The 13,679-nt window shown below is 35.2% G+C and overlaps 1 protein-coding gene across 7 annotated transcripts in view; it reads left to right on the plus strand.

The window, feature by feature from the left end:
• The window catches only part of PKHD1L1 (PKHD1 like 1), a 174,747-nt gene that overhangs the window by 64,387 nt on the left and 96,681 nt on the right, over positions 1-13,679 (plus strand). For 4 of the 7 annotated variants that reach the window (NM_177531.6, XM_011517371.3, XM_017013971.2 and 1 more), the window contains 8 exons: positions 155-309; positions 2,493-2,615; positions 3,085-3,190; positions 6,259-6,369; positions 8,343-8,507; positions 9,491-9,612; positions 11,477-11,609; positions 12,050-12,245. In NM_177531.6, coding sequence (NP_803875.2) covers positions 155-309; positions 2,493-2,615; positions 3,085-3,190; positions 6,259-6,369; positions 8,343-8,507; positions 9,491-9,612; positions 11,477-11,609; positions 12,050-12,245 — 1,111 coding nt within the window. Of the gene's footprint in view, positions 1-154; positions 310-2,492; positions 2,616-3,084; positions 3,191-6,258; positions 6,370-8,342; positions 8,508-9,490; positions 9,613-10,644; positions 10,883-11,476; positions 11,610-12,049; positions 12,246-13,679 lie in introns of those variants that run through there. The other 3 variants (XM_047422421.1, XM_047422422.1, XM_017013974.2) reach the window with 2 other exon arrangements.

The raw sequence follows: 13,679 nt of genomic DNA on the forward strand, positions 1-13,679 counted from the left end.
TTACCATGTTGGCCAGGCTGATCTCAAACGCCTGACCTCAGGTGACCCGCCCGCTTTGGCCTCCCAAAGTGCTAAGATTACAGGCGTGAACCACCACATCCGGCCCGTTTGTGAATTGTGACTCCTGCTGTTTGCCACCCCTCTGTGAGTGCAGGCCTCCCCGCTGCTGTGTCAGCTGCAGATCTGCAGTTTGCACTCCAGAGTCTGGAGGGAATGGGAAGAATCTCAGTTACACGAGAGGGAACCTGTGCTGGCTACGCGTGGAACATCAAATGGAGAAGCACCTGCGGAAAGCAGAATCTTCTACAGGTTCCCTCATTTGGCTTGGCTTCTCTTTTCTTCTATGTGCTGTTTGCTTATTTGGACCCTGCCTTATTCCAAAAAGAACTGGAGGCTATGTTTATTATAAAAATTCAAACCATAAACTAAAATTTCTTTAAAAGGAAGTTAAGGAGAAGGTTTTTTTCTAAATTAAGCTGATCCAGTGTTCTCTTTCATGGAGAATAGCTGTTGGTACTTTACTCCATATCCCACTTAGAAAAAGTCCAGAAATATGTGTGTTAGAATCCCCTTGACAGGGGCAGGTGGAGCGCAGTCAGGACCGGTCTCAGAACTAAACCGAACTAAATCCAGATGTATGCTAAGGGGGTCCCAAAGAGAATCAGCCTCACTATCATTCTACCACGAGAGCTGTATTTTGGGGCCTTGGATACTTTTGTGGTTATAAAGATGATTTTTTCCAAGTTCATAAGGGAGTAACACCTTAGGCTGTCATCTAATTACCTTTCTTTAGTTAGAAGGAAGAAGAGAATGGGGGAAAGGAGTCAGGCCCAGAGTATGTGAAGGAGAGGAGTCTAGGGACTCAGATTGTCAAACATTAAAAAGATGATGCTTTCAGCCAGGCACAGTGGCTCATGCCTGTAATCCCAGCATTTTGGGAGGCTGAGGCAGGTGGATCACAGGAGTTCGAGATGAGCCTGACCAACATGGTGAAATCCTGTTTCTACTAAAAATACAAAATTAGCTGGACGTGGTAGTGCATGCCTGTAATCCCAGCTACTTGGGAGGCTGAGGCAGGAGAATCGCTTGAACCTGGGAGACGGAGATTGCAGTGAGCCGAGATTGTGCCATTGCCATTGCACTCCAGCCTGGGCAACAAGAGCAAAACTCCGTCTCAAAAAAAAAAAAAAAAAAAAAAAAAAAAATGCTTTCTGGTGATGATGAGAGTGCAAGGAAATAGTTTCTTCTATGCAATGTTGGTGAGAATGAAAATTAGGACAACCTTTTGGGAAGATAACTTAGTAGTATCTTAATACAGAGACCTTATGATTCATCACTATCACTTATATAACTCTATTCTACTGAAATAATAAGATAAATGTGAAATGATATAGGCACAAAGGTAGTCACTGCAGCATTATTTGTAAAAGTAAAACCTAGAAACCTAAATCCCCATCAATAGCAGAAGGATTGGTGTAACTTTCACATTGAACACCATGCAGCCATGTGTAGACCCACATATATTTACCTGGAAAGAAATTCGTGACTTAAAGTGGAAAAAAATGCAGAACTCTACTTATGAAATCATTTGGGGAAGGAGAGGAAGTGGAGAAGATAAGGAAGTGGGGGCAAAAACAACTATGTAAACATAGAAAACAAGTCTGTATGGTTGTGCAAAATAGTAATAGTCATAAGGATATGGGGGTTATTTTAAAAAAAATACATGGCTGGGAACTGAAATTAGAGAACTCCACAATGAAGATAGGTCTAGTGACTGACCTCCCTTGGTGTCTCTGCTGGTGTCTGTGCATCTACTCTCTTCCATCTTTTCTAATCAGTCTCTTCTGCTTATTCATTGTTTCTGTTCCATATCATTTGGCTCACACATGGCCCAGCATGGAGACTCCTATCTCTTTGCTAGTCCCTGAATACATCAGAAGGTTGCCATATTTGCAGAGGAATTTTGTAAAGAACAAATTGTATATACTGATTTAACTTGGCTTTATTTTTACCATTGGAAGAACATATAATTCCAAAATTGGGTGAAAAACCAGGGTAAAGGTAAAAAATGATACAAGGAAAAGTTGACTCTCAGATAGAAAGATGACTCAATTTTTCAATTATTTAAGAATAATTTATCAGTTATCATATTCAGAAAAAGCATAGGACATTTTGAGAAAATCAAGTTTAGTAGATTCATTTTTAGATTTATTTTTTAATTATAAAAATTCAAGTTAATTTTTGTTTTAATTCAAGTTGTAATTGATGCAATGTATGATAATGCAATGGTCTTAATTTTTTTTCTTGGATAGGTTATGTTCATTTTTGAAGAGGCTCCTTTTATTTAAAAAAAGTGACTACAATGGTTTTGAATTTTATTTTACATTCTTTGACTTTTATTCACCTTTGCCTATGCTGAAATTTAAAATGAAAAACTAGTGTCGTCATATTTGTTATAACCTTTCTAGTAAAATAATTGTGTGTAAAAATAGATTAATGATTCCAACATTATTGGAGAAAAGGCTAATATGACAGTTACAAGGATAAAGGAAGGTGGCTTATTCAGACAACATGTACTTGGAGACCTACTTCGTACACCCAGTCAACAGCCACAGGTATTTTTGAAACTTTTCTCATGATGCTTAATGTAATTTTAATAGTATAACTAGTTTGTAATATGTTAAAGACCTGGTGAAACAGGAGGTTTGACTTCTGTATTTCATGGGAACATTTGTCTTAATATTGATCAACTTGATAATATTATTTTATGATTTTTGGGAAAATTATCTTCCTTATGATAAAATAGTAGATTTTTTTAGCTCTACTATGCCAGAATTTGAAAATAGAGGAATCTTTCCTTCAATCTTTACAGCAGCTCTGTAAAGATGAAGAAATTAAAGTCAAAAGAGATTAGGTGACTTTCCCAAGGGCAAAAATGAATGAAATATCAAAGTACAAAAAATATAGACTAATTTCAGTAAATTAGCAAACCAACAAAATTCCATCACTTTTGTTAAAACCTATTCATATTCTACTGCTGCCTCTTTGCCCATGTTCTGTAGCTTCTTGTTTCTTTACTTGAAGGTTGAAGTCTATGTCAATGGAATTCCAGCTAAATGTTCAGGTGACTGTGGATTTACATGGGATTCCAACATTACTCCCCTAGTCTTGGCGATAAGCCCTTCTCAAGGTAACTTCCTGATTTTTAACCTATACTGGGTGTGAAAGATAATCAGCAAAATGTAAACTCTGATAATGACTTTTAAAACTATGTTTCTACTAGTGTCACTAGCTAAAGCAAGCAAACAGTTCTACATTGTGAAAATTAAAAACCCTATCAGAGAAAAAAACTATGGAAAGGGCACTAATTATTTATTTTTGAAAAAAAAATATTTCTTTTGAAGCTGAAATCTTGCCTTTGAAGTAGAGGATTTACTAATCTTAAACTTCTCCAGTTTCACCAGTTAGACTCAGTCTCTAAAATTTCACTTGGACACTGAGGAACTTTTATTCAACTGTACCAGCTAGGGTATTAAGTGGAGTCTTTTATTCTATGAGACCACTTCCTCTAGGAGAGTTAGTATTAAAAGGCTAGTAACAAGACATCTGCTGTTTCATAAAAGAATATAATCGTGTCCTAGATTTGAGAGTAAGAGATATAAAAATTATTGCCATGAACTCAATCTAAGGAACACATTATGCCATTTCTTCATAAATGGTATTATTGCTTCAAAAATGTGATTATGCTTTGTGTCTGAGCAACTAAGGACTGAAATAAAACAGCAGGAATCAGGATAGTAAGGGATGGCTTTTTTCAATCAGAAAAATAAACTCATATGCTATAGTTACATATTTAGTCTTGGTGGATAGTAGGAAAATTCGCCAACTAATTTTATATTGGTACCTCCTAAAAAATTATTAAAATTTTAAAAGTAGTGCATTTTTGTGTTGAAAGAATATATTCTTCAGACTTTTTAAAATAGTGATGATACTAACTTTGAGATAATTCATGTTACATGGGGTTAAAACTCACAAGAATAAGGATTTGATGAACTTTAATTTGGTTACAGTCCTTTGGTATCTTTATGTTTATATCCACTCTTGCATTTTGTAATGAATTCCCACTTTTTTTTTTTTTTTTGAGACTGAGTCTTGCTGTCACCAGGCTGGAGTGCAGTAGTGCGATCTCAGCTCACTGCAACCTCCGCCTCCCAGGTTCAAGCGATTCTCCCACCTCAGCCTCCCAAGTAGCTGAGACTACAGGTGCATACCACCACACTCAGATAATTTTTGTATTTTTAGTAGAGACAGAGTTTTACCATGTTGGCCAGGATGGTTGAATTCCCACTTTTACATGCACTTCCTGAAAAACTATTTCTTACCCAATATAACAATCTGAATTGTCTTTTGCCACATTTGGATCATTTTTAAAATTGTGAAAATTTAAGCATAAAGAAAACTACAAAAATACATATATTTTTCACTGAAAATTAACAGCTGTTAACATTGTGTCATATTTACTTCCAATCATTAATTTAAGAAAGAAATATTATAGGAACAGCTAAATTTCTCTTTAAGCACCATCCCTAGACCTAGTCCCCTACATAACTCTCGAGGGACAATCACAGTAATTAATTATTGTGTGTGTATTCTTCCATGACATTTTAAATACCTTTTGTATATAACACACACACACACACGGTAATTTTGCCAGTTTTGTAAGCTTACAAATGAAATATTACAATGTAAATGTTATTTTGCATATTACTTTTGTCATTCAGAATTCATTTTGAGATATATTTATGTGGTTTTATGTACACCTAATCAATCACCTTAAAGTATTTCATGAGTACACCAACTTACTAGTTCCTCTATTGGTGGACATTTAGATTGTTTACAAGTTTTCACTTTTACCAATAAGACTATATTGAACTTTCTTGTACAAACCTCCTATTGCATACGTGTTAGAGCTTCTTTAGAGTATATACCCAGACGTGCTATTACTGGATAACAATTGGTTGTATGAGTATTCGGTTTACTAGATGACCAAATTGCTCTCCCAAGTGGCTATACTACCAGCAAATGTAATAGCAACATATCCCCTACATCCTTGCCAATATTGGAAGTGATCGGCTTCCTAATTTTAACTATTCCGATGGGTGAAAGTTAACACTTTTTAGAAATTTTTCTATTCCCTTATTAGTAATGTACATGATCATCCTTCATATGTTTCTTGGACATTCAGATTATTTCTTCTGCAAAGTGTTAGCATCCTTTTTCCCTTTTTTATTGAATTGTCTTTTTAAAATTTACTTGTAACCATTTACTATATTTTATGTTTACCAATCCTTTGCACATGGCTTCTCTCAGTATATTAGCTGTGCTTTGATTTAGTATCTTGTTTACAAAAAGATTTAAGTCATTGATTTATTCTAGGTTATTTATTTATTCCATTATGGTCAACCCCATGACTTCATGTATCATATTTGAGAAATCCATTTCTACCTCAAAGTCATCAAGATATTTGATTATATTTTCTTATAAAATTTTTGAGTTTTGTTTTTTGTTCTTAGCTATTTGAATCTATGTAGAATCTATATTGTGCATGGTGTTACGTAAGTAGGGTGATCATATATATATGATTTGTTATAGTTAGATATGTAATTATCTATCTATCTATCCATCTATCTATCTATCTATAATTTGTTGATCAAACCTGGACACTTTTAAGAGGGAATGGAAGAACCTTAAGTTTAAGACGCTGGAACACAGGTGTAAACCAGAACTGTCCCAGGCACTTTGAGATGTGTATCACCATAAACAGAAGAATCTTATTTTCTTTTCAAATGGGAAGTGTCCATACCACTAATTGCATGGTTTATCCTTTCCTCATGAATTTGCAATGGCAAGTCCATCATATACTAAGTTACCATATAGAGATGTCTACTTAATTTCTTTGTTATGAGAATAATTTGTTTCTTTATCTTATGCCATATTTTCAATCAGATAGTTCTTTCCACTAGTCTCTGTCAACACACAGATTCAAAATATGAAAAGATATAGAGTAATTCAATGGAAATAATGGAAATAAAATGCCATTGACAAATAAATGTGGATTTTTCTCCCTGCTCTCCTGTTAGGCTTATTGTTTATATCTTTTGAAGATAGACTTATTTTTATTTGAGAAATGTCTGATTTCATAACAACAGGTTTTATTTTTCTAACTTTAATATTGTTATTTAAATTGATCATTTTTAGGGTCCTATGAAGAAGGCACAATTCTAACCATAGTGGGTTCTGGATTTTCTCCTAGTTCAGCTGTAACAGTCTCAGTTGGACCAGTAGGTTGTTCTCTTCTTTCTGTGGATGGTAGGTCCTTTTAAAAACTATTAAGTCTAATTGTTCTTCTCTAAGATAAAGTGGAATCAAAGGGCAGTATTACAATTATCTTGATCGTGTACAATTATCATGATCCAGTATTACAATTATCATGATCCCTATGGGGTCATGAAATTGGCAACCTGGTCTATATAATGCCTTATCTTTGATTATGATCACAGACTATTTCATTGTTGTACGGTGTCTTTATCCCATAACAGTTTAATTTTATCCTTTTTCCCCCCTTCATTTGGAGGTTACATGAAATCTTTCTTGCATCGGTGTGTCTCTGGGACACAAAAATGTATGAAATGCTTCTCTTGTGTTCCATGGTCCTGTCTGCCCATGTTTTGACAATGCCATGCAGGAAGAGGACCTGGCCATCTCCTGACTTCCAGTCCCATTGAACCTCTCTCCATTAATGTAGAATTTAAAGATCATTCAAATTTTTTTAACATCTTGAAATAGTGAAGGCCATAGTTATTTATTTCCCTAAAAGTTGTCTTTCATAATTCTAGGAGATTTTTCTTAACTTAAATCAATTGAAATTACATAAGTAAATTCATTTACCAAATCCTTTCTGTTGTTTTTAGTTTAGTTCTTTTATGCATTGTTAAGCTCTAAGAGTCAATATTGCACCTGTATTATTGGTGTTCTAAAGAAAAAGAAAATGTGGTACATATACACCATGGAATACTATGCGGCAATAAAAAAGGATGAGTTCATATCCTTTGCAGGGACATGGATGAAGCTGGAAACCATCATTCTCAGTAAACTAACACAAGAACGGAAAACCAAACACCAGATGTTCTCACTCATAAGTGGGAGTTGAACAATGAGAACGAGGGGAACATCACACACCAGGGCCTGTCGAGGGGTTGGGGGCTAGGGGAGGGATAGCATTAGAAGAAATACCTAATGTAGGTGACGGGTTAATGGGTGCAGCAAACCACGATGATATGTGTATATCTATGTAATAAACCTGCATGTTCTGCACAGGTATCCCAGAACTTAAAGTATAATTTTAAAAAAGAGAGAAAAATATCACTCTTCCCAACTCATGAAATCCTCAATATCAAATTCTCCTATCACCAGTGATAGAAATTATGTTTTCATACATACATCTCTGCTGAGGAATTAAATGGTCACATTTCAAAAAAAAAAAAAGTAAGAAAATGTTTTCATTTACTTTTTTGGTTTTGTTTTTGGTGTTTTGTTTTTTGTTTTTGTTTTGTTTTGGTTTCTGTGTTTTTGTTTTTTTGAGATGGAGTCTCATTCTGTTGCCCAGGCTGGAGTACCGTGGCATGATCTCAGCTCACTGCAACCTCTGCCTCCCAGGTTCAAGTGATTCTTCTGCCTCAGCCTCCCAAGTAGCTGAGATTACAGGTGTCTGACACCACACCCAGCTATTTTTTGTATTTTTAATAGAGACAGGGTTTCACCATGTTGGCCAAGCTGGTCTTGAACTCCTGAACTCAGGTGATCCACCCGCCTCAGCCTTCTAAAGTGCCGGGATTACAGGCGTGAGCCACCGCGCCTGCCCTTCATTTAGTTTTTGATCATCTTTCCTGATAAAACGTAGTATTTTGCACAATTTCAGACATAATATGTTTGACCAAAAATTTTAGAATTATTAAATAAATGAGCTTATAAACTAGTTTTTTTTTTAAAAAAATTATGACAATAGTCTGTTTTGGGTACAGTAGCATCCGAAGCAGATTGATTACTTTGCTTTCACTATTGGTTTACCTATTTTCTAGGAGTGTCTGATTCATAGCCTCAGGTAGTTTGTAAGAATTATTCCTCCTAAGATTCCCCCACACATTAATATATGATTGGTTTTCTTTGGATATACTTCGTGAGATCTAAAAATGAAGGCCAATGTTAGTATTTGCAAGCATAACTTTTATCTCATAAAACCATTTGATTTACCATTTTCTTCATCTTTTTCTTTTTTTCACAAGAAAAAGAGCTCAAGTGCCAGATTCTGAATGGAAGTGCTGGACATGCCCCCGTTGCTGTGTCCATGGCTGATGTTGGACTAGCACAGAATGTAGGGGGTGAAGAGTTCTACTTTGTTTATCAGAGTCAGATCTCACATATCTGGCCTGATTCTGGAAGCATAGCAGGTAATGGTTAATAGTTTAAACAGAGAGAAAATTGCATGCATTTCCATCAGTTCAATGTGCTGTTTCTAGTACAGGGTGAAGGGAGAGGATCCCAAAGCTTCCTCTTATAGAACAAAGGAAAGTCTCCTTCGAGAAGGTACAGTGATTAAATGGCTGACTAATTCTTTTGTTTCTTACAAAGCACAAGTCAGGGTGCTGCTTATACTTACATCTTAGGTTATTGAATTAATATCATCAATTATTACATGTTTCTATAACAAGCACATCAATTATGTCAAGATAAGATTTATTAGTTATTATTCTGCTTACCAGCTGCTTCGTTTGTAACCACAGTCTCAGTGGAGCTTCTTGACCCAGACAAAGTTCTGGGAACAAACTGGGGAAAGGAGGGCTAACACACAGGATGGAAAGAACATAACACATTTTTCCTGTCCTGCTTCATTTCCTTTGTACATTTGTTTGTTTTTTTTACCAGGCGTAGTTTAGGGTTTTGTGCTTTGATTTTGATCCTTTTGGTATGCTTTTATTTTACATTATTTCATCGCTTATTTTTAAAGTTTAGTTTTCCTTTTACTTAGAGGTATTAAAATTTGAGATTTGGCAAGAGTCTTAATTAACTCTCCTCTTCCACCCACAGAATGGTTGAGTGAATAGAAGCAGCATAATTATTCGTAGGATGAAGGCACTGTGAAAAATAGCAGATGCTGCTACCAATGCCCCAAAGCAAATGTGTGTTGCAAATCTATGTTATTTCATTAAATCACTTAGCCCAGCTCATTTATGGTTCTGAGCAAAAGCACCCAGGCTCAGGTGTGTGGTGGGGATTGCATTCATCTCAAGTCTGGTCCTTGATCTATTGGCCAGTACATCTCTTGGATCATTAGACTATTCTCAAAAGACAATTCTCAAAAAATGTTACTAACATTTCTTTTTGTTATAGTTGAACTGTTTTGTTGTTGTTTTTGTTTGCTTTTCTTATGAAGGTGGTACTCTACTGACTTTATCTGGATTTGGCTTTAATGAAAATTCAAAGGTATTAGTTGGAAATGAAACCTGCAATGTGATTGAAGGGGATTTGAATAGGATAACCTGCAGGACACCAAAAGTAAGGCCTCTGATTTCAGTCACTTTTTCCTCCTAAGTCTGAAATCTTATAAATTAGGAAACATCTCAGTGGGGCGGGGGGTGAAACAAGTGGTGTATTTACTTAGGAACTGCAGGGTTTCTATTATGCTCCTTAAAACTTATTTCTTCCATATCTTTCCACTAAGATTCAAAGACAAAATATTGTCTCCACATTCAAGATACTTAAAATCATGAAGAAAAGAGACACATAAACTAATATTAAACAATGTATTTCATTTGAATTAATAGAAGTAGTAACAAAGTAAACATAAAACACAGTGGAGAGAGGGTGTCAGAAACAGTTTCACAGAAAAGTTGATGTCCTATCAGAATTTGAGAATGAATGAGAGTTTACCATGGTAAGTTTAAGGATGAAAAAAATGAGTAGTCTAAAGATTTCAGGAAAGTAAATCTAGAAAATAATAGTTTTCAAAAAGGAATACTTTATTTTTCCTGAGACGGAGTCTCACTCTGTCACCAGTCTGTAGTGCAATGGCACGATCTCGCCTCACTGCAACCTCTGCCTCCCGGGTTCAAGCGATTCTCCTGCCTCAGCCTCCCAAGTCACTGGGATTACAGGCATGTACCACCACGCCCAGCTAATTTTTGTATTTTTAGTAGAGACAGGGTTTCACCATATTGGCCAGGATGATCTCAATCTCTTGACCTTGTGATCCACCCCCCTCAGCCTCCCAAAGTGCTGGGATTACAGACGTGAGCCACCACGCCTGGCCAGGAATACATTTTTAAATGTGTTAAAGTTTTAGTTTAAATGTGTTAAATTTTCAGTTTCACAAAAAAAGTGAAGTTCTCTGTGGAATATTGTGTCTTAGAATCAATCATTATTCTTTATTTTTAAAACAGAGTTTTTTTATTATTATGCTTTAAGTTTTAGGGTACATGTGCACAACGTGCAGGTTAGTTACATATGTATACATGTGCCATGTTGGTGTGCTGCACCCATTAACTTGTCATTTAACATTAGGTATATCTCCTAATGCTATCCCTCCCCCCTCCCCCCACCCCACAACAGGCCCCAGGGACACAGGAAGGGGAACATAAAACATAGTTTTTAAATTTAAACTGAGACTCTGGTTTCCTTATTACATGCCAAAACGTAATGAATCCTGTCACTGACTTTTTTTAAAAAGTGTAGCAGAGTAAATGGGGGTATTATGTATTTGCAATCTGCAGGAAAAATAAATTTGTTTTTTGGACCAAATGATGGAGATGAGAATTGAGGGGATATGGTAAGCTAAAACTTACTTTGTTTACAATATGTCATTTGGTTAAACACTGAGTGTGGATTAAATAAATACTAGATGTGAAAAAATGTTTTTCCTAGTTGGGAATCGCATGGATACTATATCTGCAAAAGCATCAAATAGTTTTCTTAGGGGGTCCAAGTGCTTAGTCTTGGATTTTGGAGTGAGGTCTTCAAAAGATATAATGATGTGATTTGTCAGAGAAGAGAAATAAGAACTATACCTGTCTATTTTAAAAGCAAAAAGTCAAACTTTAGTATCTAATGCTTTATCAGAGAATCACTTCTCCAGAGCATCTCAACAATATTGTAGAGCCATCAGAAATCCAATAATATAGATGCATTTAAATTGATCATAAAACCCATAAAACTACTATGTCATGTAACTTTATTTTGAGAACTCAAGCATGTAACCTATATTTGACACCACAACTTTCTAAATATATGAAAACTGACTCTGATCTTGACTTTGAAGTAAAACATCTTCAGAAGTTTATTCTGAATAATCTATTTCTTTTCATCCCTTGCATTTCTGTATCTCAACAATTAATATTTTCTAATTTTTTTCCTCTTATTTTAGAAAACTGAGGGTACAGTTGATATTTCAGTTACTACCAATGGATTTCAAGCCACAGCAAGGGATGCTTTTAGTTATAATTGTTTACAGACACCAATTATAACTGATTTTAGTCCAAAAGTACGAACAATACTAGGTAAGAAATTCTTCAATAAGATTGGTCATTTGTCCTATGTATAAAAAACATTTCTAGAAAGGCTTTTGAAGCATAGTTTCTTCTGTAGTTTTGTTTCTTAAAGTGAAACCAGTTATAGTGTTATGTGTGTGTATGTTTTATCATAGATTAATCTATTTATTATTTTATATTGAACATATGCAATAAGGAGAAAAATAGTAAGTTTTTTTTTTTAAAAAAGGACTTTGTCATCTTTTTTCCTTTTGAGCAATTGAATGTACATTTCATCCCTCTGTGGCTGTTACCAACTCTTTCATTGTTTTTCCTTTTGCCTCTCAAAGTGTTAGGATTTCCTAAATCCAATGAAAGATGAGAGATGAATTGATTTATTTAATATGCAAATTTCACACTGGATAACAAGTTGAACTTTTTGCATTATTTTTTAAATTTTAAAATACCAGGAGAAGTTAATTTAACAATTAAGGGCTATAATTTTGGAAATGAACTCACACAAAACATGGCGGTGTATGTTGGAGGAAAAACCTGCCAGATTCTTCACTGGAACTTCACAGATATTAGATGCCTTTTGCCCAAGTTGTCTCCTGGAAAACATGATATCTATGTAGAAGTCAGAAACTGGGGTTTTGCATCAACAAGGTATGATAATGAACATAAACTTGATGGAGTTGTAGAACACATGGGGCTAGTGGAATTGGGATAGGAAAAGAAGTGGGCATTAAGCTTTAGGTGTTAATTGTTCTCTTTACCTTCCTATATCTTCTTTGGCAAAAGATGCCGAGAATATCTCATACAACTGCAATATGACGCATAGTTTTGAGACCAATACCATTCAGATCAGGTTGTAAAATTCTCTGTACAACTAGCCTTATGTATATGTCACATGATTTTGATTCACTCAGGAAATGCATATCAAGTAACTTCTAGGGGCTCAGTGTTGCTGGCTGGATTTACAGTGGATTAGAGTGGCATCTCCCCTGCATTAATGGTGCTCACAATTTTCTTGGAGAGAGAGATTTCAAACAGAGGATTACCTCAAGAGTTTAATTGTAAATGTGAAAAATACTGTGAGTTAGAGGTACCAGGTGCAGTAAGAGTCTATAATAGAGAGAGCTAACTTATCCTGAGTATCAGGGAAAAGTTCTCTGAAAAGCTGACAATTAAGCCAAGAAATGGGTAGGAGGTGGCCATCTGAAGGAGATGATGCAGAGAGTCTTTCTCCAACTCAGTTTTCTGTAAGGACTTAGTATTTCTTTTTCCCTGAAACTGTTTGTTAACTGATAAAATGTTAGTTCTAGTATGAGGAAGTTATTGGTTTGGAATACTTAGAAAAGGAAGATACTGAAATTTTATGGATGCAAAAAGGCCAATACAGCTAATGTCAGAGTAGAAGGAGAGATGATTGCAGCAAAATCTTGCAAGAAGTAAATGAAGATGAGCAACATTAAACATAAACCTCAGCACTACATCCATCTCTTGGTTTCACAGGGCAGAGCTCACATGGATTCTATATTGGCTTATGCTGTAGCTTGACCATATAATGGGTGAAATTGACACCATACAAAATTGCTCATTCAGATTTAAGAAATAACAAGGTTATGCTGTGGAAGTTAAAAGTTAACACAATGATTCACGTGATTTTTTCTGCCTCTCTGCAGTTACGAGGGAAGTTGGGATTTGGAAGTCAAATATGTCATATCAGAAAAGAATTTACATTTTGATGGCCTCCTAGCAGATGCATTATAACCAAGCAAAATAAATTAAAAACTCTCTCATTGAAGTAATGGGAAGGGAGACCCTGACAAGTTTTCAACAAACGTGGAATAATAACTTCAAATTAATTATACAAAACTTTGATTACTCAAATGTGTGAGATTTAATTGCTAGTTTTAAAGCAGAGCTGCCTTTTTGTTTTAGTTTAATGAAAATATAAAATATTTTTAAAAATCTAATGTATTTCTTGTGACCTCAGTTCTCATAAGCATATTTTTCCATAATATTGTAGGATCTTCCATCTCAAATTCTTCTGCCATTAGAATTTTCAGAAATGTAATTTTCATAGTTAGGGAAAAT

This window comes from Homo sapiens, chromosome 8, assembly GCF_000001405.40.
Source record: "Homo sapiens chromosome 8, GRCh38.p14 Primary Assembly".
Classification (NCBI taxonomy): domain Eukaryota; kingdom Metazoa; phylum Chordata; class Mammalia; order Primates; family Hominidae; genus Homo; species Homo sapiens.